This window comes from Homo sapiens, chromosome 8 (assembly GCF_000001405.40).
Source record: "Homo sapiens chromosome 8, GRCh38.p14 Primary Assembly".
In the NCBI taxonomy this organism is placed as follows: domain Eukaryota; kingdom Metazoa; phylum Chordata; class Mammalia; order Primates; family Hominidae; genus Homo; species Homo sapiens.
In genome coordinates, this window is record NC_000008.11 from 124,644,355 (window position 1) to 124,671,402 (window position 27,048).

Here is a 27,048-nt window from a genome sequence, read left to right on the forward strand (position 1 = left end):
GCAGAACATGGTAGAATGCTCATTCTCTAAGAAAGAATTTCTAATTAATGAGTTTCTTCACACCAAGCTCATTCCACAATGGATTTTAGAGAACAGATTCTTGATGCATTTACCATTTGAGTTCTGAGCTGTCTGATTTTCATATTACCACAATTTAATTTTAGCATCACGTAAACATAATTAATCTTTTCACCAAGTGAATGAAACAAGGAAATTACATTTAAGCCTCCAATTTTGCTAAATAGTACTGGTGTCTAAATATTTACCTGCTCTCTCCACTTCAGGTCCCTTGAGCAGGACGTGGTGGGGTTTCCAGGCCTAAATCTAACCTGCAAATGTCAAACTGGAAAACACTGCTACAGAGGCTGTGAGCAAAGCCCTGAGGTCTGAATACTATTGGCAGAATGTTATGAAGAAATCAGGAGATAATTCCAAATGGACATGGAGAAACCTAAGTCATCCGATTATGATTCAGTATAAGAGGGCTTAAAACATTTTATGGAATTTGTGTCCACCCCTTAAGTCATTTTTCTAAGAAAATGTCTAGCTGGATAAACTGAATGAAATTAGGTATGTCATACACAGATTCATTGAGCCATAAACGTTTACTGGGGGCCTACTATATATGTGGCATTGATAGGTCTTGAGGCCCAAATGTAGAGAAGGACATTTCTGTTCAAACACCTGAACCAGAGACCCTCTCAAAATAGTGCATCAAAAATGCATTTTTCAGCCAGGTGCAGTGGCTCACACCTATAATCCCAGCACTTTGGGAGGCTGAGGTGAGAGGATCACTTGAGGCCAAGAGGTTGAGACTAGCCCGGAAAACATGGAGAGACCCTAGTCTCTACAAAAAACAAAAACAAAAACGAAAAAACGAAAAACAATTAGCCAGCATGGTGGCGTGCACCTGTAGTCCTAGTAGCTACTCGGGAGGCTGAGGCGGGAGGACTGTTTGAGCCCAAGAGGTTGCAGTGAGCTATGATTGCGCTACTCATTCCAGCCTGGGCAACAGAGCAAGACCTTGTCACCAATTTTTAAAAGAAAATACAATTTTCAATGTGTAGAAGAAAATATAAGGCTCCAATGAATGTTGGGTGGCTAGTCCCATCTTCACGATCCCTATCAATGGCAAAAATCTTAGGATAAACTCAAATTATTCTTCCCACGAGAATCCAAAGGACGCTGATTTGAGAACAGCTATGCGGATATGTTTCCGCTGGGGTATCACAAGCTTAAAGCACACCAGTTTACCAAGCTTTTCTCTTTTTTCTGTTCTTTGAACTACTGTCCCCAAATCTCATTTTCTCGGTTGACGCTCAGCATGATTTTCAATTTTAAGCTCCAACCTTTGACTTAAACCCTTTATCATGCGTATCCAGAAAGCAAAAAGGATCATAAGCATCTTACTATTTTGAGTACTCTAAGCTGTTAATGAAAGTATTTGCCCATGTTCCCAAAGAGACAAAACCCTCGCCCAGCTTCCTCGGCTTAAGTGGTGACAGCAACAATCTTTGCTCTTTCAGGGCACGAAGGTCTCTCACCCGATTTCAAAGAAACTATGATATCTTCCTTCAGAAGCTGCTCATGCAAATGAATTCTAGTTATTCCTGCTGTATTTCTCCCCTCCTTTCCACTGTGAATGTCTATTTAGAAAAAAGTATGTAAAATAAAACACACTTTAAAAACACTTAATGGACAGTGAGGGTTTTAAAAAATTGTATTCAACTCATTTTTTAAAGGCATTCCTGGGCCACGCTGAAACCTCAACTTGTCTAGGCTCCTTTGGGAAACCAGGAATCAAATTCCTTTGTGTTTTCTTCTGTCCATCTCACTGGAATATTAGCAAGGCTGGGATTATAAATGGGATTATAAGCCTTAGTCTTTTATTTCAATGGCTGTGCCATCTCATCTTTAGCCAGTTACATACTGAACACTTCACAATCGGGAGAACATGTAATAATGAATATAACTGCCATCTAATCAGCATCTCTTGGTAAATAAATGACCATAGAGTCATTTATTTACCATTCATTCATTTAAAAAATCTAAAAATATTTTCCTGGGTCACAAAGAATAACTGAGTCTTGCTGCTTCTCAAATTATCTTTAGATAAGGCATCTCTTACACTTCTACTGACTTTTAAAAGCAAGTTATATCCACAGTTTCATAATTTAGACAACTTGTAAGAAATGCAATAGCAAGATCCCTAGAAACTTAAACTATTACTGAGAAGACAGAAGAATTTGGATGTGATGAAAGCAGGGTTTCTCAAGTGCTTTAAAAGACAAAATGCCCGTGAGTTTTAAACCATCCACAGAGAACAGAGCCATTAGAAAGCTACTGCTTAATATCTTGAAGGAAAATTTGTATCACCTATTTTTCACTAAATAAACATGTTGTATAACCTGCAGCTAAAAGCTATTTTCCTCATGGTTAAAAAAAAAAAATCTGCACCATTACATCTTTCTCTCTCTCTCTCTCTGACAGTCTTCCTCTGTCACCCAGGCTGGAGTACACTGGCTCTACCATGGCTCACTGCAGCCTCGAACTCTGGCCTCAAATGGTCCTCCCATCGAACTCTGGCCTCAAATGGTCCTCCCACCTCAGCCTCCTGAGTAGCTGGGACTACAGGCATGTGCCACCATACCCAGCTAATTTTTAAATTTTCCTTTTGTAGAGATGGGGTCTCACTATGTTGACCAGGCTGCTTTCAAACTCCTAGGCTCAAGTGATCCTCCCGCCTCAGCTTCCCAAAGTTCTGGGATTACAAGCATGAGCCACCACGCAGTCATTCCTCTTTAAATAAAAGGAATTTACCTACATTTTCAAAAACTACTTCAAAGTACATTTTCATACTATTTATGTCTTATGTATGTGCTGAGTAATTCATGTTTGGATACATCTAGATTTAGAGTTTTTTTATGAAATACGATTCTTTTGGGTGGAATTTGTTAGATATCAAAGTTTCTTTTTTCCCCTTAGCTTTATTAAGGGTATAGCTGAGAAATTAAAATTGTTATGTGTTAACAGTATACATGCTATGTTTTGATGAATGTATATGTTGTAAAACGACTAAGATATTTTTTGTAGTGAGAGCATTTAAGATCTAATCTCTTAGAGATTTTCAAGTCTTCTTATTAACCACAGTCACCATGCTATACAATAGATCTCCACAACTTATTCATCCTAAAACTTTGTACTTTTAGCTAACAACAGTGTTTATCCTCAATAAAGCATGTTCTAATATAAAAAAAAAGATGTGTGGCATGTTGAAATATTACTATTTCTTCCATCATGTTTTAGCTCATTTCAAAAGAATTAAATCATTTCTCACTTCTTCAATTGTTACAGCTCGTCAGCTATAAAAATAAGCAAGGCAATTCAAGTTCCTTGAAATACCTGAATGACTATATAGACGTATCCTTGATAACAGGACACAGGATCAAGGTATAAGTCATGTGCATTAAAATCCAGAACTCTCTAAAATCAGAGGCCGAACAAGAACCTCTGGAGCCACCTACAGGTCCCCATGGGCTGTGTGATCCAACCCATCACCAACAGTGGGGTCATGTCCTGAGAGAACTCAATCTTAAAAACAAATGTCTCCAATCAACCTAGCGTTTCAAGAGTAGCAAGGGGAATACAGTTTACCAGCAGGCCTAAAGCAGATTTAGCCTCTATAGCCTCTGCAATCCTATTTATGGTGGGCATGGACCATCAGCTTCTTTATTAATGTCTGAAATCAAGAGGTGGCAAGACTCACCCCATCCCAGCATTTCAAAGCCTTTTATTAACAGAGGAAAAAACTGGGGCAAAAGAATACCAAGGAGCTACCAGAGTTGCTCCAAAGATTATGAGTTGATGTTCAGAAGCAGATGAGTGATCCGGTGAAAGGGTTTGTTGTTACTATTACCTAGTGTTTTTGAATTTTTTTTTTTAAGTATTTCAACACACCAACAATGGACTCTTTGGGTGCAGTTTAACTTTAGCTCTCTTCTGTTACAAAAGTTTTGGGTGGGCTACAAAATAAGGAGTTGCTTAAGAAAACCTCACATCCTCCAAGCAGCACCACATCAACAATGAATTTCGTCTCACTGGAAGCTCACTTTGCCCTCTCTCCCCTAACTCCTCAGGCCCCCAAAGCAGCCCATCACAGCTCCTTAGTAGAGGGATAAAGCCAGCATTTGTAAAAGGGAGCCCTATTTCCCAGAGATATATTACCTTGGAAAGGCTTGGGGGTCTCCACATCAAAGTTGGTGGGAAGCACAGTGACTCCAAGAAAGTCCAGCCGTTTCCCTACTCTCTCCTCTCAGGCTCAGGATTATAGGAAGAGTCTTCATCCCAAATAGCAGCCCCCCCCCAGATACTGACCAGACGGTGTTCCAAGGAAAGGTAAGTGAGAAAATGTGAGAATCCAAGGCCATGGGGACTGCTGTGAGATGGACACCACAAGGCCATCAGTACGCCATGATGAAAATGCCATCTTTATCCAATGCCCACTGGGCCCAGGTCTGCACTCATCGAGTACTATGGGGTCCACCCGGGACTACCCTCAAGGAGCTCTACAACATCCAGCCTCTATGAGACATACTCCAAGTAGGAATGGATCCAGATTAATCTTCTCCAAAACAGAGAGTTTCCCTTTCTATCTGTTGTGGGCAACCTGCCATCCTTCATAAACTTTCCAAAAATAATAGTATTAACAATAACCATTTCCATTTAGACCAAACCCTAAATCAAGAGCTGGCAAACTATGGCAGCAGGCCAAATCCGGCCCACTGCCTGTTTCTGTAAGTAAAGTTTTATTGAAAGACAGCCAGGGCCATCTGTTTATCTATTATCTAGGGCTGCTTTTGCTCTACAATGGGAGTGTTGAGTGGTTGTGAGAGAGACGGTAGTCTGCAAAGCCTAAAATATTGACTGTGTGGCCTTTCACAGTAAAAGTTTTCCCTGTGTGGTACAAAGCATGGAAACCTCTAAGGAGAGGTGTCCATCATTATCAGCAGGAAGCAGCCCTTCCCTGAACAAACCCCCAGCACAGAGCAGCGATGGAGTCGGGGGCGCTGAGATGGGAGCTATGCTTCCTGACCAGCTTTCGTGACAATCACATGACCCTGGCGAGCCTTGGCACCTCTGGCTATACAATTCAGGCATCAATACCTACTTCACAAGGCTGTCTTGAGGGTCAGCCAAGACAGAGTACACAAAAAGCTCCCGGCACAGGCAAATTACTCCTCAAGGTGCTCCATTAATGGTAATGACCCTACTGACCACTGTTACTCAAGAAAGAACACAGGACTAATGTGAATCCCTGCAATACTCATCTTCAGTCATTAAGGTTCCTACTGCTATGACCTCGAAAAGATCATAGACTCAGCACGACAACCAAAAGAAAGGACGCAAGGCTCTCTCTGTGTTGAGTCATAGAAAGGCACAAGGTCAGGACTTAATGTTCTTGTGCTTGGGGAAAAACACTGAGCTGTTTCAGGTTGGAATCTTTCAATTATCAAACTTACGGCAGCCTCCTAGATATGGAAAAGACTAAGAGCATTGTCACCCAGGGTCTGTCTCCGAACATTGTATCTTTCATCCTTTTAACAGACAGCAATTGGTACAAGGTATTCCCAGACAGTGGCCAAACTACACACAGGCCAACAGAAGCGCTGAAGAGCCTTTTTTTTTTTTTCCCTCGAGATGGAGTCTTGCTCTGTCACCCAGGCTGGAGTGCAGTGGTGCAATTTCGGCTCACTGCAACCTCCGCCTCCCAGATTCAAGCAATTCTCCTGCCTCAGCCTCCCGAGTACCTGGGATTACAGGTATGCACCACCACGCCCAGCTAATTTTTGTATTTTTAGTAGAGATGGGGTTTCACCATGTTGGCCAGATTGGTCTCGAATTCCTGACCTCATGATCTGCTTGCCTCGGCCTCCCAAAGTGCTGGGATTGCAGGCGTGAGCCACCGCGCCCAGCCAAAGAGCTTATGTTTTAAAGGGCTGTGAAACCACACTCCTGTTGCTTCAACTGACTTGACACCCACATATGCTAGGTGTGACTTCAGTCAGAACACACAGGATGGACAAGAATGAGATCATCCATATATGGCGCAGGGCAGGGACCTGACACAACCAAATCCTGAGAACGTGCTAAGATAGAGAAGCCGCGTTTCCTCGCCCTTCTCTCCGATCCTTCCATTTTTACCCCATCTCCCCTGACATTTGCAAATGGAAGCTATGCATAGCCTTTGATCAACCCAGCCTTCTGCCATGCACGAACATCACATTTTCCTGCATTAATGCAACTGATCCTAACAAACAAATCTTAGCAGGTGCGCAGGGCAGGGTTTGGGTGCTGGTTTTACGGTTGGGGAAACTGAAGCTGAGAATGATGGTATGGCTTGGCAAGCAAGGATCGGAGCTATCTGACTTATCCACTGCTCCAGAGCCATCCCCAGGGCCCAGTAAGTACTTGGTAGTTAACACAAATGCTCGATTAACAATGGTGTATGGCCCGGATTCAAATTTCAACTCCTCCACCTAGTAGCTGTTGACCTTGAGGACATCAGTTTACCTCTCTGTGCCCAAGCTCATTTATCTGTGAAATGGAAATAATAAACTATCATACAAAGTTGTGAGACCTAAATAACTTAATATATTTAAAGTGCTTACAACAGTGTGCTTGGCACAAAGCAAGTGTTCATTAAATGTTGACTTCTATTACTTGCTGAATCAAATCTACCTGACTTCCACCCAAAGCTTCAGGCCACTTTTTGTCTTCTCGTGTGTACTGTCGTTCTTTAAACATGCATTACAGCAATTTAAAAAATTATGACCTAAGAAAGGCCACCTCCTAGGATTTCAGTATTAAAGCCCCATGCAACAATGACATTTTTCAAAAAGACTTCTGGTTTCAGCTGATAACATACCACAAAGTATGCTGATAGCACCAGGCAGTCACGTGTGGCAGTTCAAGAACTTGAGCGTGACATGCCGTGTGAAGAGCATGCTTTGACATACACAGCACACACAGCACAATCATATAAATTGTATTTTACTGCTCTACCTACCTATGGCTACCAAATACAGTCCACATGGTCTTTTTTTTTTTGGTGGGGGGGGAGGGGCATAGATTACTACAGTTAGAAACATGTTACATTCAGAACCATTTCCCTAGCTTAGCCCTCTAAATAAAGGCTGGGGACAATTCCTGACTGCAGAAGGGCCCTTCCCTGAAACCACAGACCAGATAAAGAGCTATGTGAAAGCATTTGCAAGAAAAGCAGTTATTTCGGTTTTCCTGGGACATAAGTCTCCACCCAGTCAGACAGTACCAGCCATGGAGAAAAAGACCCTCCCTGAAGAACTCGCTAATTCATCTGAGGGGCTCAGAGACAGAAAAATTCACTGAGCCTGGGTTACCCTGATCCCCAGACTCGAGGACCCAGTGACATCCTGTTTTTGCTGGGTTCTCTCTTTCATATCTCAGAGCTGCCAGGCGTGCTCCCCTAGAAGAAGGCTTTTGGGTCCTCTCCCAGACCCCAGGGTTCCTTAGAGGCAGGGGTGGGCCAGTCCTTGTCTGTCAGAAAGCCCGGTTGTGTCAATTTTCTTCTCCCTAAAGGATTTTCAGTCTCCAACTTCAAAACTCAGTTCCAAGGCCACCTCTCCCCTCGGAAACCTTCTCCTGGCTAGATTCACCCATTTCAACCACCCCAGGGGTTCCCTTCTCCTAATCCTCCCTGTTTAGTAAGAATCATAAGCTGTTTAATAATTGGATGGGACTCGGTAAACATTTATTCCAACTTCTTAGCCAGTAGAGAAATGTCTTCTTTATTTATTTTGAGAGGGAGTCTTGCTCTGTTGCCCAGGCTGGAGTGCAATGGCACAATCTTGGCTCACTGCAACCTCTGCCTCCCAGGTTCAAGTGATTCTCCTGCCTCAGCCTCCCGAGTAGCTGGGACTACAGGTGCATGCCACCATGCCTGGCTAATTTTTTGTAGAGACAGGGTTTCACCATGTTGGCCAGGCTGGTCTCAAACTCCTGACCTCAGGTGAGCCATCTGCCTCAGCCTCCCAAAGTGCTAGGATTACAGGAATGAGCCACCATGCCCAGCCGAGGAATGTCTTCTATACATTAACAATACCCAACAGAAATACAAAACAAGCCACAATGTAAGCCACATGAGTCGTTTAAAAATTTCTAAAGGCCACAGTCACGTAAAAAGAAACAGGTGAAGATTTGGAGACCAGCCTGGCCGACCTGGTGAAACCCCGTCTCTACTAAAAATATAAAAATTATCTGGGCATGGTGGCAGGTGCCTATAATCCCAGTTACTTGGGAGGCTGAGGCAGGAGAATCACTTGAACCCGGGAAGCGGAGGTTTCAGTGAGCCGAGATCGTGCCATTGCACTCCAGCCTGGGCGACAGAGCGAGACTCCGTCTCAAAAAAAAAAAAAAAAAAACACAGCCATCAAGAGCAACTCTAAAGAGTGATCCCACTGAGTCTGCTTTAACGAATATCCACCTAAAATGCTCTGAAGTTCTTTTTTCATTAACCTATCATCAACCCGTGAAAGGTTATCATCACCTCTGTGATCTTATTTACACTGCGACTTGATGGCAGTGAATTCTCTGCCTCACCTGCATTCCAAGTTATCTGTCTATTGCAGCGTGACTTTCAAAGGCAACTGATGATTTAAATCCCAAACATATTCACTTCCGTGGCCAGACACTTGGGGGTTGGCCTGGAATGCCCGGATGGGGCACAGGAGCTAGGCAGATGGGAAAGAAACTGAGGAAGGAATTCAGAAAGATGAATCTGATTTTAAAAGCCCAGACCAACCAATTCCTGTGCCAACAAGAGGGTAGTGTGGCAGCCCTCTGAGGGGTGACAATTGGTTGGGGACAGTACAGGAAGTCATCAGCTCAAAGTTATGCCTAAATGCAGTGTGTGGTTTAGTCCATCACATTGAAATAAAATAGTTAGCTAATAACTTTTCATATGTTATGTCTTCTGTAACATTTTATTCATTACAACTATGTTGGCATATCACCAGAGAAAAGATCATATTTGCTAACTTATAAAAAACAAGCCGGGCATGGTGGCTCACACCTGTAATCCCAGCACTTTGGGAGGCCAAGGCGGGTGGATCACCTGAAGCCAGGAATTCGAGACCAGCCTGACCAACATGGTGAAACCCCATCTCTACTAAAAATACAAAAATTAGCTGGGCATGGTGGCATGTGTCTGTAATCCCAGCTACTTGGGAGGCTGAGGCAGGAGAATCGCTTGAACCTGGGAGGCTGAGGTTGCAGTGAGCCGAGATCGCGCCAGTGCGCTCCAGCCTGGGCAACAGAGCAAGACTCCATCTCAAAACAAAACAAAACAAAACAAACACAAAAAAATAAAACAGGGATTCATAACATTTACTTTGCATAAAAATATCTCCCTTTTCCCCCTAGGATATACAAGCATGTGTGACTTTCCTTGAGGCTGCTGGGAGATGCCTATAATCGACAGAACTACTAGACACAAATCGCATTCAACAGATGCCGGAAACTTTAACTCACTGATCCCCTCCATGCCCATCAGGAAGCGGTTAGACATCCTGGTTGCAGGAAAAGGCCTCCTTCCTATCACAGACTTCCATCACAGAGAAGTTACAGAACAGCCACTTCTTGGGTTACTTACATTCCAGAGCTCCTGCTAGACGGATGCTTCTGGAAACGTCTTACTGCTACCCCACACGAGGGTAATGAGGTGTATCATCGTCGCTGACCTGTAGCTGTGGGAGGAGCAAGTTCCTCAAGCCTCGACTCCAAAGAAAGGAGGGACAGGCCTGAAGCGCTCCTGATGGTAGCTGCTGATACAATCCTGAAGGTTAGAATATTTGCTAAATGAATTATTAACCTACAGTTAAATGTTTCACCGTCTTCGCTCATCCAGTGTTCATTTTAATGACACAGATCATTAGCAAAGAAACAATTCCCTGGCACGCAAAGCATCACAGAAGCACATGTTCCCATCCACTCTCTCCACCTCTGTCACTTTCCACGGTGAGAGGACTTTCTGAAAATGTGAGGCATATTAACGAGTTCTATAGCAGAGAAGTTCTTCCTCCCTCCTCAAAGATCAGGAGAAATGATCAATCAAAATTCTGGAGAATTTTAAGAAAAACAAGAGTTTCATGAAGTATAAACATTGAAAGGTTCATACTAGACCACATGAAGTATGATGTATATCCTTATGCCAAGAACACCAGGAAGTCACCAACACTGATCCTAACCCAGCGTAATTGCTACTAGAAGGTGACCTTGGCCAGCTGCGTACATTTCCAGGTCTCAACCACGTTACCAACAAGGGAGGGTGTAACTCACATGACTATCTGACAAGCATAATGTAATGTACCCATTAGTAAACGTTACAAGCAACGTGCACAGCCCTTTAAAATTTCCTTACATTCCTCATCAGCCCTATGAAGTATCTTCTGTCTACTTTAGCAAAGAACCACCTGAGGTTCAGATAATTTCAATAACTTGCCCAAGGCCACAAAGTTAGAAAGTAACACAATAGGGTACTGGGCTCTAGTTTTCCAATGCCGAAACTTCTAACTAATTTAATAATTTAATAATATTGCTTTAATATCAAAGGCACTCTATTCTTAATCATAAAACCACTGCCCAAATGAAGCACTTTTCCACCCTCTCTTTTCTGCTCTCTAGCCCCCTAAACAGCAGAGCAGAACACGGATTGGAAAATGATGTACAGATGAGAGTTTTGATAACTGCAGATGCCCTGTGGCTGCAACTGCTGTCGGGGCTCAGGCCCACGCTTGGGGACCTGCTGGGCAGGCCTGCCAGGAGCCCTGCCTGGTGCACACACCAAGTCTGCTGACCCTCCCAGGGGAGCTTTTGTTCTCAAAGTCATTGCAAATAACTCTAAGAAACAACACATTAGATGCTGACTCTGTTGCAACAGTTAGTGGTCAAAGACAATGTACTTCTGGCATCTTTGGTTTAGACTTCCCCTTGCTAGGCCTGGAGGTACACGGGGTTCCCAAGAGCACAGAGAGTCAGATACGCCCTTCCTCATCCCAGCAGAACAGGGAGGGGTTGCCACAGTGGCCTCCACACAGGTGAGAGTGATCAGAATCCATACGACTCAACAAATAGTCATCTGGCACCACGCCATGCGCAGGAGCCCGGACTTGCTCTGCAAAAGTCAAAGATAAAGATGAAAGCTTTCTGTCTTTTTACCACTAGCTGCCTGGGAGATAAATACTCTTACAGCCACACCCATAATACAAGTTGGAGAGAGATGTGTGCAATGACAGTGGCACATATAAAGCACTGTGGAACTACTGAACCCAAGCAATAGGCTGCTTACTGATTGGGGAGAGAAAGAGGGATGGGAGGATGTGGGAGAAAGGGTAGCATCTCAGCTGGTCCTTGAAGCATCAGACAGAGATCAGAGGGAACCACATTCCAAGAGGGAAACTGTAGACAAAGGCCATAGTAAAGTAAAGAGTGTGTTCCTAGGATAGTGTGTCCAGAGTTCAGGGGAACAGAAGCTGGAAAGATGTGTGTATAACAAACGCTGAAATGCTCAAAGAAGAAAACCTACTTAGGAGGTTGAACTTTGGTAGGCAGAAGAAAATAAAATCTTTGAACTTGGAATGATATAATCAGAAGGAGAAAAAAACCTAATGTGTCTTGAGCATTGAATCTGACTGTGTTAAGTCCTTTTCATGCACTATTGAATTTCCTATCTCCTTTATCTTAAGAGATAGATCCCCGTTTTTCAGGAGAAGAAACTCAGACTCACTAACTTGTCCAACATTACACAGCTTAAGTAGTGGGGCTAGCATACTTGAACTCAAAACCAACTCTTTCCTTTAGGAAGAGAAAATCAGCTATGGAATAAAGGCTGAACTGGCAAGGAGGACAGGTGTAGAGCTAGGGAGACCAGCTTGCAAAATAAAGTTCTTAAGAGAGCTAAATGAGCCTAAATCCATTCATAGGAGGAAAACAAGCACACAAAAGTGTCAAGGCATTTGAGTAAAAAGTACGATCTCTCTAAATTGCTACCAAAAGGACAATGAGCCAGGACCTTTTTTTTTTTTTTTAAATGAAAATGAAGGCTGGGCACAGTGGCTCACGCCTGTAATCCCAGCACTTTGGGAAGCTATGACAGGCAGATCACTTGAGGTCAGGAGTTCAAGACCAGCCTGGCCAACATGGTGAAACCCTGTCTCTACTAAAAATATTAATACAAAAATTAGCCAGGTGTGGTGGTGAATGCCTGCAGTCCCAACTACTCAGGAGGCTGAGGCAGGAGAATTGCTTGAACCCAGGTGGTAGAGGTTGCAGTGAGCCAAGGTCACACCACTGCATTCCAGGCTGGGCAAAAGAGTGAGTGAGACTCCATCTCAAAAAAAAAAAAAAAAAAGAAAAAAGAAAAAAAGGAAAAAAAAATGGAGTTGCTCCTTCAGAGCCACCCCTGAAGTATTCCAACTGCAGGCAACATGGGGATAGAGGAAGCTGTTAAATGATACTATGAGAGTACAACCAACCAAGTCCAGAATGCAGAAAATTCTACAGGACAAAGGACCAGTAAATGGCATTTTTACGAAAACAGGAAGGCTGTAATAAATTAGACTAAATTAAAGGAACATATGAACTAAATGCAAGACATTTGAGTCAACTGGGAAAATGGAATCTAGACTAATGATGTGAATGAATGATTGTTAATTTTGTTAGAAGTGGTAATGGTATTGTGGTTATGGGTTGGTCTTGTTGTTGTTTTTAGGCCTAATCTATTAGCAGAGTCCATGCATCCACGTATATGGGTGAAATACTAAATGCCTGCACTTTGCTTTACAATACTGCAGGACACAAAAAGGGGTTGGGCTGGGGGGCAACATGTCTGAAAATAAGAACAGCAGAAAGTTGATGGTTACTGAAGCTGCGTAATGGGGTAAGTGGGGGTTCATCATAGTATTGTCTTTTTTGTGTGTGTGTTTAAAACTTCCCATAATAAAGTGTTGAAAATGAAGCCACAAAACATGGAATGGAAAGTTTTTTCCTTTTTTCTCAACACATGTGTTATTAAAGGCAGAGTCAGCAAAAAAAAAAAAAAAAGAAGAGGACACACACTACTTAGTCACATATGGGTGTGAACAGAAGTTACTTTCCTCTGCACTGAGCAGAAATAGAGGGCATGACATGAAGACTCACCAGCAACACTGTGACAGAGACGGTTCTGGGGTCAGCTCCAAGCCCACTGCGCATACATCATGGACAAGAGCACGTTCACACGGTCCTTACCAAGTCCAAATTTAACCAGGATACAGGGACCTTCTGATGATACACAGTGCCCCCAGGCACCTACCTCCCTACAAAAAGCATGAGGCTCTCAGCTCACATACCCATTATTGGCCCATTTCAAGCTGTTAAATTACAGCAAGCTTTATAAAATGAAGTCCCATTCCATCTACTGTGGACTAAGTGTTTGTGTCCTCCCCCAAAATTCTCATGTTGAAATCCTAATCTCCACTGTGATGGTATTTAGAGGTGAGCCTTTGGGAGGTAATTAGGTCATGAGAGTGGAACCTTCACAAATGGGATTAGTGCACTTATAAGAAAAGACATGAGAATGATGATCTCTCCCTCCACCACGTGAGGATATAGCAAGAAAGCAGCTGTCTACAAACCAGGAAGAGGGCCCTCACCAGGAGCCAAATGAAACAGTGTATTAGTCTGTTCTCACACTGCTATAAAGAAATACTTGAGACTGGGTGATATGATTTGGCTCCATCCCCGCCCAAATCTCATCTTGAATTGTAGCTCTCATAATTCCCATGTATTGTGGGAAGGACCAGGTGGGAGGTAACTGAATCATGGGGGTGGTTTCCCCTATACTGTTATCACGATAGTGAATAAGACTCATGAGGTCTGATGTTTTGATATGGGGTTTCCGTTCTCGCTTGGCTCTCATTCTCTCTTGCCTGCCACCATGTAAGAAGTGCCTTTCATCTTCTACCATGATTGTGAGGCCTCCCCAGCCACGTGGAACTGAGTCCATTAAACCTCTTTTTCTTTATAAATTACCCAATCTCGGGTATGTCTTTTATCAGCAGCATGAAAATGGACTAACACATTGGATAATTTATAAAGAAAAGAGGTTTAATTGTGCAGTTCCACAGGCTGTACAGGAAGCACGGCAGCTTCTGCTTCTGGGGAGGTCTCAGGGAATGTTTACTCATGGCAGAATGCAAAGAGGGAGCTAGGAGCTTCACATGGCTGAAGCAGGAGGGAGAGACAGAAGGGGGAGGTGCCACACACTTCTAAACAACCAGAGCTCCTGAGAACTCACTCACCATCAACCAGAACAGCAGCAAAGCGCCAAGGGGGAAATCCACCCCCACAGTCCAATCACCTCTCACCAGGCCCCATCTCCAACACTGGGGATTACAATTCAACATGAGATTTGGGCAGGGACACAGATCCAGATCATATTAGCCAGCACCTCGATCTTGGACTTCCCAGCCTCCAAAGTTGTGAGAAGTAAATTTCTGTTGTTTGCACCATCCAGGCTACGGGCTTTTCTTTTAGGAGCCTCAACTAATTTTCATTTTATAAAGCTTGCTGTAATCTTTGCATTATTTCAAATGAATCTGAACAAACCCCAGCAATTTTGAACTTTGTTTTAGAGGATACCTCTTAATATTAACCTGCCAACTGAACTCAGTAAGCAATTCCTTTACAAGAACTCAACACTAGTTAAGAACCTGAGATATAACCAGAATCATGGATGATTCGATGAAATGAATAATGCACAATAAAAAGTGCATTATTAAAGTACCCTTCTGCCCTGTTTAGAAGAATGAGGGGACTTTAAATAATTAAATAATAATAGCTAAATGGTATCAATTACCATAGTAATTTAACAGTTCACATTCTGTGTATCTGAGAATTTATAGTTTATTAAGTTTTTCTCCATGACACTCAATCTATTTCTGTGACTTGCATCTCGGGAATCATGTGTATATAGGGTATGCCTTTAGCTGATAATATTTAGGAAGGTCGCCCTTTAAAGTGAAACACTTAGATTGAAACACATGAATGGCCACTCTAGTCTAATTCCAGAAAAGCTACCTAAAAATCACATGGCGCTGCTCAGCTCATTTCTCAGGAGATTAAAGGCTAAGAATTATGATTTGGCTCCTACTGGCAAGCAGCTAATACATTTAAACTGTACTGGTCCCACTGGTTAAATTTTAAAGTCCTCAGAAATTCTTAGGAGGAAACAGACCAGATATGATTGTTGTCACATCCAAGGGGACCATGTAATGTGCCTAGCATTCATCCTGGATTCTCTACTCAAGTGCATTGATGGGACAACACCTGGGCCGCTCCGCTCCCACCTGGGTAACATGAAGATAGCAACAAATGCAGTGGCTATTTCTAAGAAGCAATTACTTCAGGCAGTGAGGGCTATCCCAACCCAGAATTAGAGTCCAAATACAACAACTAAATAGAAATAAATACATGCACACAAAATGGTAAGGAATCATCTCTTCCTGACTCTCTCTCTTACTCCTAAAACCAGACCTTGTGATTCAGTTCCCATGGAACTTGAACTTGAATAAGAGCCATAGAGTATTAGAAGCAGTCTCTTTTCACATACTGAAAAGTACCACCCCCCAGAAACATGGCAGGTAGGATGGCCACTCTGAGTAGATCTCAAAGCCACACAGCTGTCCCGAGGATATGCTTGGACTTCAAGACAGTACACATGTGTACATTTCAGAAATGAACCTTCAAAAGCCCTTCTCTGGCTCTGAGCTCAATTGTAGGAGATGAAAAAGCATTCGGCAGCCCAGAGTTAGGAATCAGAAAAGCACAAACAACCGTTTGAGTGATCTGGAATAGGCTGTGCCACAGAAACAGGGGCCCTTCGAAAGAAGCAGCACTTTAACCAAAAGAAAGTAAACAAGGGAGGGTGGGGGCAAGGAACGAATGGCACTAGTTTATAATTAGAATGTATATTTTGGTATTTAGAAAGTTGCCCATGCGCATGCACACACACACACACACACACACACACACACACACACACACCCTCAAGCTGAAGGGTGGAGGCAAGATCAAGGGGATAAATCAACAAGGCTTCCCACACAACAGCACAGATCACTAACCCACGCCTCCAACAGAAGAGGAAGTTCCTTGTTTAGAGCATTAACCCTCCCTCCCACTTGCTGGGGCTGAGATGCCTCCCACTACACACCAAATATGAGGCTCTGGCTTAGTGGAGGAATCAGAGCAGCCACAATATTTCTACGAAGCTTGTTCTAAATGCACATGATATCAGTGTTCTAAAATTCTGAATGTGGTACAGCTTTCATGCTAGTGCAGTATGGAAATGCCCCTCAACTCTCCCATGCCTCTCTTCCTCCTGGGTGCCCTGTGATACTCTGGTTCTCCTCTATACTAAGCAGCCTGGTCCAGTGTCTTCCCACAAGAGCAAAGGATGAGGGACTTGTGCCCCAAGGTCCGAGTGGAACACACATACACACCCTCCCACGCACACGTACACACACGCACAATTTGGTTCACACTGTATCCTCTGACAGTAGTCACCTCTTGGCCCTGAGGCCATCGTCAATCAACAGAGAAAATGGAACATTCAGTGAAAAGTAAAACCAGACCCAGCCACCAATAAGATGCCAGAGGGCAGTGGGATGAGTGTGATCATTAAAAAGTTTATCATTCAGAACCTTCATCCTTGGAGGAAAGGGTTTCAGTAACAACAGCTCACCAACACATGTAGGTTTTAAGAAATAATATTTATCGTCTTTTTCCAAAATGAAAGGATAACCTGAAAAGTAAAAACCTTAGGAAAATGGTCCCCATACACGCACTACCCAGAAACAACACCAATGTTAGACGTGTCCCTTTATTTTCTTCTAGGTTTTTTTTTTTTCTGTAAACTGATGAATTTTTACTAACAATTCATGCCTGCACAACCTGATTATTACAGGATCTAGACAAAGAGCAAGTTCATGAACCATGTTTTTCTGATGAAAACATGATCAAAGCACTAGCTCTTAGAAACAGAAGCTACGATTGTCTCAGGTGAACACAAAAGGAGCCCCGCAGCTGGGAAGATACGTGTGACCATCAGCTTGAAAACTGGACAGGCCACAGGGTCAGGTAGTGGAGTCCTAGCCACGCCAAAGGTGCAGACACTGCTGGGAGAGGCACGAAGCAGAGCCTCCTCAGCCCAGGTGAGGGGTGGTAAGGCTTCCTTCCTGGTCAGCCACCCGCTACAAACACCACCCCTCAAAGGCCGGGGCTAGGGAGGAACCTGGGAAGTCCAATCAGCACTGTCCCATAAAGGATTCCCCTCTTTCCCACAACTCACCATAGCTGCGACAGCCTGTTCACAGTTTGCTCAGCATACATTCAGGACCTGTCACACTGTACGGCCCACATCTGTCTGCATTTCTGACTCCCCTTAGACTATGATATTTGTAAAGTATGAGGGCCATGCTCCATTCATCTTCACGTCCTTTGTGTCTAGCAGATAGGAGAGGCTCAAGATGGCTCTCACCCATCCATGAACACCAAGGAAGTAGCCAGCTTCAGGTTCTTTTTAGATTAAAGAGAAAGGGAAATGATCCAGCCCAGTCTTGTCCCAAGCTCAGCTCTTTAGCCTGAAAGTTAATGGGAAAGGCAGGGGTGGCATGTTAGATCTATTGATCGCATGTGCTACAACGTTCCAGGGGCCCCTGCTTGGTGAGCTATGTTCAATTTTTGGGAAAGAGGACAACGTCAACGCTATAATTCCGGGTGCCTACCTCACACCACTCAGGAAGACCATAATCCAATGACAACTGAGAATGAATAGAAGCTGCCTATCTGGTTTCTTGGCATCCAACACAATTAGGGCCCCTCCGCCAGGGCTCTAGGAGCACCAAGAACAGTGATACGAATGTATTCCAGGGCCCGGCACATAGTAGATGTTCAATAAATACTTCTGAATAAAAAAAATACTGTATGCCATACACAGCACAGGACACCAAGAGAGGCCTCAGTCTCTGCCACCAGGAAGCTTTTCCATCTAACACAGTGGTTCTCTGTCTAGGGTGTCCATCACAATTACCTGGAGAGCCTTTCCCCAATACTCAGGATCCGGGCTCTGCCCCAGGCCTCCTGACGCACCCTCTGAAGACAGGGTCTAGACATACGTACTGTCAAACAGCTACCCAAGTGATTCTGAGGTAAACTCCCACATTGAAGAGCCCCTGCTCTAGAGAGTAAACGAAAGCTATTATTTATTATATTTGTAAATATTGGGGGAGGGGGTGGGAGAATAAGGCAGTAATGCTTTTTTATTTGTAAGTACCAAGACTTCCCTCCCTGCCCTCCCACGGGTTAAATTTTAAAGTCCTCCAAAATTCTTGGGAGGAAACAGACCAGGTACAATTGTCGTGGTATCCAAGGGGACCGTGTAATGTACCCTTGCAGTCAGATAAAGCTCACGGAAATCAAGGGCAACTACCTAATGATCCAAGGGACCGAGACGTGACCACGAGCCTTTCCTGATTGTTTTCTCCAGGTAACCAAGGGGCAGCTGCTCTCCTTTAGCCAGGTGAGAACACTGGATATCAGTATCTGGGCCCCACTCCCCACCCAACGCTGAAACCTCCCTCAGGGATGCTATGCCAACAGCTGCCTGGCTGGGTTCTGGAGCCGAAATGGGCAACTTGTACTTAGCCTGCACTCAGACACCTGCACACGTGTCTCTAGGAAAAGAGGGAGTGCCAGCAGCATGGCCAGACACTCCCTTTCGGGCTGTAAGTTTTTCCTGAGGCTGCCTGCTAAACCTCATGCTAAGACAGACAGACAGACAGACTGACAGACACACACGTCCACAGCCTTGGAGCCCCTTTGCTCAAGGAGGCTTCCCATAGACACCTTGGCAAAGACCTACAAATGAAGCCAAGGACACGTGTCCTCTGAAGGGGAGGAAAACCACCAACCCCTGTGCTCACTCGGCCCTCCCATCCCCCTTCCTCAAATCGGAAGCCTCTGAGGCCAGTTAGGAAACCCAGCTTTGGCATGCATCATCAGCCCAGAACCCCCACCCGCCCAATCCATGCTCCCACCAAGGTCAAGAGTAGAACCGTCCCACCTCCCCTTTCTCCCCACACTCTTTAAAGCAATAGATTCTGTAAATTTTCCTTTTCCCTTTCTTGGCTCCCCTGCATATGTGGCTCCTTATTCCTGAGGATACTTAGAAAAGCCATCCTCCTCCCACCTCCTCTGCAGACCCTCCAAATATCAGCTTTCGATATTTTGCCCCTCTGTCCATTCCCGTGTCCTTTTGTAAATGGCCTCCTACAGGAAAAGCACAGTGAATACAAAGATGAGTAAGACGTGGTCCCATTCCTCAAGGAGGGCAGAGACACACACATAGACAGAAAGTTAGGACAGGAAACGCCATGACAGAGAGAAGCCTAGGGCATCACGGAGCACAGAGAGGAGCGCAGATCACAGGGGCTCCTCAGGAGATGACACCTCAGTTCGAGTCTAAAAACCCGGGATGGACTGGTGCTGGCCCAGTGGTGTCTGCAGACAAAGGAGAAATAAAGCAAAGCACAGCACAGAAGTAACCTGTGCCCAGGTCGGTGAGAAGACACTTCAGCAGGAGAAGCAGGTGAGGTCCAGGTGGGGAACCCCAGGAGGGAGCAGCTGGAAGCCAGCAGGCAGAAGCCAGCGCCTGCAGGGCTACCCCCTCTCCAGTCCTTGGAGGTGCCACCCATGGTTCTGCTGGGCTGTTCCCAGGGGTGGTTTCATGACTTAGAACCACAGGCGTAAGTTCAACCTGTCATCATGGGGCAGCCAAGCCAATGGCCCTAATTAAAGTCTCCTGAGACACAGGCGTGGCTATCTCCTTCCAGCGAGGCCCGTCTCTAGATAAATGCTCCTCTACCACAGTGCCAGAGGCTGCTTCTCCAAGTAGCTTCCTACTGGCCTTTAATTTGGTAGCACCCAAGCATTCTAGTCTGAACCCAACCATTTCAGGTTGCAAAATGTCTCTTTAATCGTTGGGAGTATGTAGACCAGAGTTTAGGAGCACACAAGATTAGAAGCCACACTCTAAAATTGAGCCCTTCATTTCCCCTTAGGTTTTAAATAGGCATATGACCACTTGGTCATATTATACCTAAAAGCATACACACTCACAGCCTCTGGTAACATAGAATTGCAGGCAACAGGGCTCTTGTGTGTCAGGAGACCCCTCTACTCTAAAATAGCAAAATCCGCAACGAGAGCACTTGACTAGTAGCTTTTGCTTACATCAAGTCATAGTTGCTTCAGCCTCCAGGCCTGTTTCCTTCTACACAAACACTACCACCGTCACCACCACCATCCTCATCATCAAATACAGTGAGCAACTGCTACACATCTGGCACTGTTCACAGTAACACTAGGAAGTAGACTATTCTATTTCATTGTTTCTAAGACCAATCCTAGAATCCATTTTACAGTTCATTCTTTCCCCCCGACATGTTAACAACTCTGAAAGGCATTTCATATTTTAGTTGGCAGGATTTTTTTTTTCCTTAGTGCTACATAAACTAAAGGTACAACTAAATTGATAGTTCTTGGATTTGAGGAAATAAGCATTTTTTTTATCCCCATCTTATTCATATGAACACTAAGCTTGGAGAGGGTAAGTAACTTGCTGTAATATAAATGTTTGTACCAGATAATCTGGTCAGTAACCAGCACTTAAACTATTTGAACATGTCTATAATAAGAAGCAGGGCTGCCTTCCAATGTTGAAACAAAAATTAGTCCTGCTGTGTCCAAGACATTTCTATCTTTGGAATTCTTTAAAGATTTGCTCAATTCGATAATCTGTTCAGTGACTAATTCTATTTTTCTCTTCGATTCATTCCGTGGGCACTGCCTTCTCTCCTTTTTCCATCTCCGCAGACCTGAGTTCGTAACATTTCATCCACAGTTCACCCACTCGCTCAGTCTCACCTTTGGGCCCCTGGTTACTTTGTCTTCATCCCAATTCTTCATACTCTTCCAGGAAGACTTTGGTGATTTCCACCTGGCTTTTCTCCTCTCTTCTTTCTCCTGGCCTCTCACAGGGCCCTGGCTTGGCCAGGCTGATCTCAGACAGCCTAGCTATAAAAAAAATCTGGCCCCCAAGGCCGGGCACAGTGGCTCATGCCTGTAATCCCAGCACTTTGGGAGGCCGAGGCGGGTGGATCACCTGAGGTTGGGAGTTCGAGACCATCCTGACCAACATGGAGAAACCCCGTCTCTACTAAAAATACAAAATTAGCCAGGCGTGGTGGCGCATGCCTGTAATCCAAGCTACTCAGGAGGCTGAGGCAGGAGAATCACTTGAACCCCGGAGGCGGAGGTTGTGGTGAGCTGAGATTGTGCCATTGCACTCCAGCCTGGGCAATACGAGTGAAACTCCTTCTCAAAAAAAAAAAAAAAAAAATCTGGCCCCCAGAGACAGTCTACAGTGTTGAAGTTCCACTCTACTGCTGATGAGTCTCACGATTTTGGGCAAGTTACTTAACCTAGCTGTGGTCTCCATTGTTTCATCCATAAAATATTAGACCCTATTTCACAAAGCTGTTGTGAGAATTCAGAGACAACACACATATTAATACAATGTGCTCATTAGCACCCAGCACACAGTAAATGTTCAATAGTCTCACTGCATGATAACATTCTGCTTATCTGTTTACAGTCTCCATTAAACTGATCTCCCTGGGGTGGGGACTGGATCATATTTCCTAGCACAGCCCCAGGACAAGCACTGTGGCTAGCTCACAAGAGCTTAAGAAACTGTTGAATCAATGAATAAATGGACACATGACTGTGTGTATAACACATGCAAGGCACTGTGCTCAGGAACACAAGGGCAAGGCAGCCATGCAAACTATCAACTCTAATACAAATGCTAAATAGATGTTCTGGTAATGTGCTGTACAAGCACGATAGAGGGAAAAATTAACTCTGACAGGAAAGTGCACTGAAGAAAAATACTGATGGAAACACAGGAACAAAGACAAAGGAACAAAGATATAAGAGAAAATGGCACAAGCCACGACAAAGAGGCTTAGAATGCATGGTCTAGCATGGGCATCCGGCTAAGTTCGCCACCGGGATCCACAGACCCCTTGAAACTGAATGGAAAACTGAGTGACTATGTACCTTTCTAGGGAGGCAGTCCATAGCTGTCTGTTCCTTGAAGGGGTCTGAGGTCCAAAAAGATGAAGGGCCCCTGTGATAGGGTGTTGGTCATGGGATAGGGAGGGTGGAGGGAGAATGAGGAGGGGTCATCAGCGCAGAGTGAGCCCAGCTGGCCGAGGGTTAGCATACCAGTTGGCAGATAGTGAGCTTTATCATGTGACCATTAATGGGGGTCCTGGGGAGTTTTCAAAGAGGGAAGAGGGGTGATCAGATCTGAACTAAGGAAAGAAAATCCATCAGCAGTAGGGAGAGGAGGAGGTCAATGGAGGAGTTTAGGGGGAGAGTTGAAGAAGCCAGCGGGAATAAGGACAGAAATTAAAATTCCCATTTAAGAAGCAGGGAAAGGTTCAAATGAACCCAAGACAAATCTAGTCTCACTAGTTATATAAAAAGAAAAGAAGAACAGATCTAAGAAGCAGGCTGGGATTCAGGTGGAGGGGAGAGGAGATGGCCACGCCCTGGGTTTCCCCCCATCTTAGGATTTGATTTGAGATGGTGAGTTTGAGGAGAAGGCATGACCCTCATGGGGAGGCGCTCTCCCCAGAGGATGCAGAGCTCACCAGGGGACCAGGCCTGGGGCTGTGCATGGATTCTGGCACCCTCTCAGGGCAACTGTGAAAGCGCGACATGTTTCTGAGAGAAGGCCAAGACAGAAATGGTTAAAATGGTAACTTTGATGTTACATATATTTTACCACAAAAAAAAAATAACAATAGGCCGGGCGTGGTGGCTCATGCCTGTAATCCCAGCACTTCGGGAGGCCGAGGCGGGTGGATCACCTGAGGTTGGGAGTTTGAGACCATCCTGACCAACATGGATAAACCCCATCTCTACTAAAAATACAAAATTAGCCGGGCATGGTGGTGCATGCCTGTAATCCCAGCTACTCAGGAGGCTGAGGCAGGAGAATTGCTTGAACCCGGGAAGCAAAGGTTGTGGTGAGCTGAGATCACACCATTGCACTCCAGCCTGGGCAACAGAAGCGAAACTCCGTCTCAAAAAATAAAAAATAAATAAATAACAACAACTCCGGGAGGAGGTATTATTATCATTTCAGACATGTGAGGAAACTGGGACTTAAAAAGCATCTGCAGTTGGCAAGGTCACACAGCTACTGCACTCCGAGCTAAGATTCAAAGTCTCCAAGCGGCCAGGCACAGTGGCTCACACCTATAATCCCAACACTTTGGGAGGCCAGGGTGGGAGGATTGCTTGAGCCCAGGAGTTCAAGACCAGCCTGGGCAATATGGCGAGACCCTTTCTCTATAAAAAAAAATTAGCCAGACATGGTGGTGTGGGCCTGTAGTCCCAGCTACTAGGGCAGGGGTCTGGGGGACCACTGAGGTGGGAAGATCACCTGAGTTCAGAGGGTCAAGGCTGCAGTGAGCCATGATCGCGCCACTGCACTCCAGCCTGGGGGACGCCACCCTGTCTCAAAACAAAAACAAAAAAAGTCTCCAAGGCTTTCACCTCCACCGCTGGGCTCTAAAACCAAGATGCCAACAGGCCCGGCCAGCAACTGAGGAGGACACAGCGCAAGCGGCCACACGTGTGGGCTGTAGGAAGGTGGTGATTCGCTTTTTGTTTTCTCACAGGCACAATCAGTTCCACGTGCCCTGTCTTGTTAGGCATGTTTTGTTCAGGCCCTAACCCTACCAATGTGTGTTCATGGAGAGTGATGCTGTGGACAGGAGGTGTCACCAGATCTGCTTCATCCAACAGACAGACAAAGCCAGGTTTCCATACCTCAGCTCACATCTACGGCAGGAATTCATCCTGTCCTAGCTCCGTTTGAAAACCCGCCTTTCTCGTTCATGCCCCTACCAGGTCCACAGGTGAACTCCTCCCTCCCTGTCATCATAGCTGGCTAAAAACTTCCCAGTAGCCCCTTTGTGTCAGGATGGAAAACAGACCTACAAGGTCAACTTAGCACCTACCCGTGACACTCTTCGACAGCATGCCAGACTCGGCTATTAGGAAGGGAAAATTCATACCTCTGAACGGGACCAGAAAAGAAAGATGAAACGGCATCAGCAGTTAGCCACAATGAAGACCTCAGTGTGTTTGGTCACCCATCAAAAAGCTGACCTATACCCAGAACCCAAACTCCATTCTTAGCTATATCGACAGGATCTCACCCCAAACAAGCTTTTGCCCAGCAAATTCCACAAAGCTTGTCAAGGTTTGACTCCCTTTGTTCCCGTGAAGTGCAAACCACCATTACCACCTTCTTGTACACAGGGGCCCTTTCCCACACATTAGTTTACCTTCAATGATGTCCTACATGTAGCAGGTCCCCAAAGCTATTGAATGAATACAAACCTCACTGTTTAGACAGATATTCTGATTGTACCTGGCTTTTAAACTTTTTTACAAAGCAGGTTGATTGCCACTGACTTCATTTTGTTCCACTTGAGGTGCTGAGCAAAAGATGGATCTCTCAGTAAACACCAGCCACAAAATAAGACTCCCCTACCACCTACACACACCAAAAATACAATCCTCAGAAAAGCATGATCACATGGTGCAATTAGAGAAGATTTCAGCCCCACGGTTTTGGATTCTATTTTCTGGATAAATAATTACTCATTTTCTAATTAAACAAACAATTAGTAGAAAGCACAGCCTGAGAAACTGTGTAGGTGTCCACCGTCTCGCTCCGCTGAGATAGTGTGACAAATGATGCTAACTCAGGGGTGAATAAAACGTCCTTGGCTCCTACTGTTTGCACAAACTGATACAACCACACAGCCCAGCATTTACAGTACAGCTCACTCCAAACATGAAATGAACACTTTTAATGATTGACATCCTAAGTAAGAAAACAGTTCCTTTAGATGAAGGCCAGATTTCTTGGACTTGGGGCAAACAAGAGAGCTGGCTAGTGAATATATTGAAGGTAGTTTTGTTTATTTTGGGGTTTGTTTTGTAGGACCACTGCAGAAGGTTCCAGCCAAAAATGAGTCAAAGACAGTGACCTACATATTTCTGGCTGCTTTCTACTAACATTCAGTGTCTTTGTCTATATACATTCAGGGACACAAAGCAAAGCAATGACCTTTATAGATCATGTGCTAAAATCTGCTGGTTTCATTTGGCTAAGCAAAGTTAATGTTTACTCTTTTGAGTTTAGTACTGGTAAAAGAAAGTGGATAGCTACAGAACACTAGAGGAATCTCCCTACACTAGATAAAGGCAGATGGTACGCGCGTCTTGCTCCTGCTCTACTAATAGCATCCAAATATCTCTGCAGTAGGATGTGTCTGCAAGCACAGGCTATTTTAACATTCATTCATGTAAACTTCTTATTCATTTCATTCACTCAATAAATATTTACTGAGCGCCAGGTACTGTGGATACAGAGAACACAAGACAAAGTGCTGCCCTCATGGAGCCTACATGCTAGTGGGAGGGTGGAAACAGGCAAAACAGGTCATGAAAACAAATAAGAATTTCATAGAATTCTAAGTGCCATAAAACACTGCCAAGGAACAGAAAGGATAAATGGGGTGTGCAGTGGGAGGAGGATGGGGTATTTTTGCTGGGCGGTCAGAAAAGGCCCTCCTGAGGTTATATTTGAGCTGAAACCACACAAAGATCTGCAGAAGAGCAACCAAACAGAGGGAACAGCAAATATTGTGATCCTGGGATGGAAAGGAATTTGGCCAATATGGTTGAACAAACAAAAGGGACTAGTGGTGGCAAAGGAGATTACACTCAGGCGGGCGGCACCCCACACAGCCTGGCGGCACCCCACACAGCCTGGCGGCACCCCACACAGCCTGGCGGCACCCCACACAGCCTGGCAGGTATGGTTAGGGACTCCTGACGTCGTCGTACTTGCAAAGGAGTCTCGAAAATCAATAAAAAGCTACAAATTTAAATACAAATGTATGTATGAGCTCAGCAAACATGATACACTTAGGATTGATCATTTCAGCAACATGACTAAAAGCAAGGAAGTGAGCTTCAGATAAACACCATTTGTACAGCACCCTAGGGCTTACCAAGAGCTTTCATAACATCATCTCATTTGGATGTTTAGACTGGGGCAGTGAAGTCAGAGGTTAAGGACAAGCAATAAAAAGAGCTCCTGGCTCTTAATTACTAAGAAACCAATTCATCCCGTCTCCAAAGTGGTTAAAGAGGAAAAGTCCAGAGACCGCAGATTAAAAGAGGTGGTTTTAGCATTCTCCTCCCTCTGAGGACATCAAATAATTTCTCTAAAATGGCTTAAGATACAGAGCCCAGGAGTGCCAAAAGGCCAGGTCAACCAAAAGAAAACACAGCTACCGCATTAAATATAAGAAATGGGCATCCTTAATTTTCCATAGTGATTAGTCCTGATGAAGCCATCAAGATCATGGCTATGATCTTCTAGAACATTTTTCTTTTTTCTTTTTCTTTTTTTCCTGAAAAGCCTTTGCATGCCAATGCCAATAAGCTCATTGGGGTAGATTGCTCCAACCACTGCCTTTCTAAACTGACCTCCCTTCCACATCCACCATGACAGGCTAGGCTCCCTCAAATACTTTTCTCCCCATAAGATTTCTGACCTCCAAAATTTTCCCACTGAGCCCTCCTCCAGAATCAAATCCTCACCTGACCTCATGACCCGCACCAACCTTCTTTCTCCCATTGCTTCTACCCCCGTTCTCCACTCCAGAGACCTGTCTCCTCACAGTCATGCATGGGTACCAAGCTGGACACCATACCTCGAATGATGGGGCCCCTCTTGCTAGACTGTCCTCCCTC

General features: G+C 44.6%; 1 protein-coding gene across 31 annotated transcripts in view, besides 1 other annotated feature; it reads right to left on the minus strand.

Annotated features, from left to right (window-relative positions):
- MTSS1 (MTSS I-BAR domain containing 1) overlaps positions 1–27,048 on the minus strand; it is a 177,690-nt gene that overhangs the window by 93,571 nt on the left and 57,071 nt on the right. The window lies entirely within an intron of this gene.
- Positions 23,994–24,288: a silencer, noted in NCBI's record as "tiled region #2678; K562 Repressive non-DNase unmatched - State 23:Low". NCBI's record gives its function as "represses a minimal TATA promoter and a strong SV40 promoter by Sharpr-MPRA in K562 cells {active_cell/tissue: K562}" and the evidence as "EXISTENCE:reporter gene assay evidence [ECO:0000049][PMID:27701403]".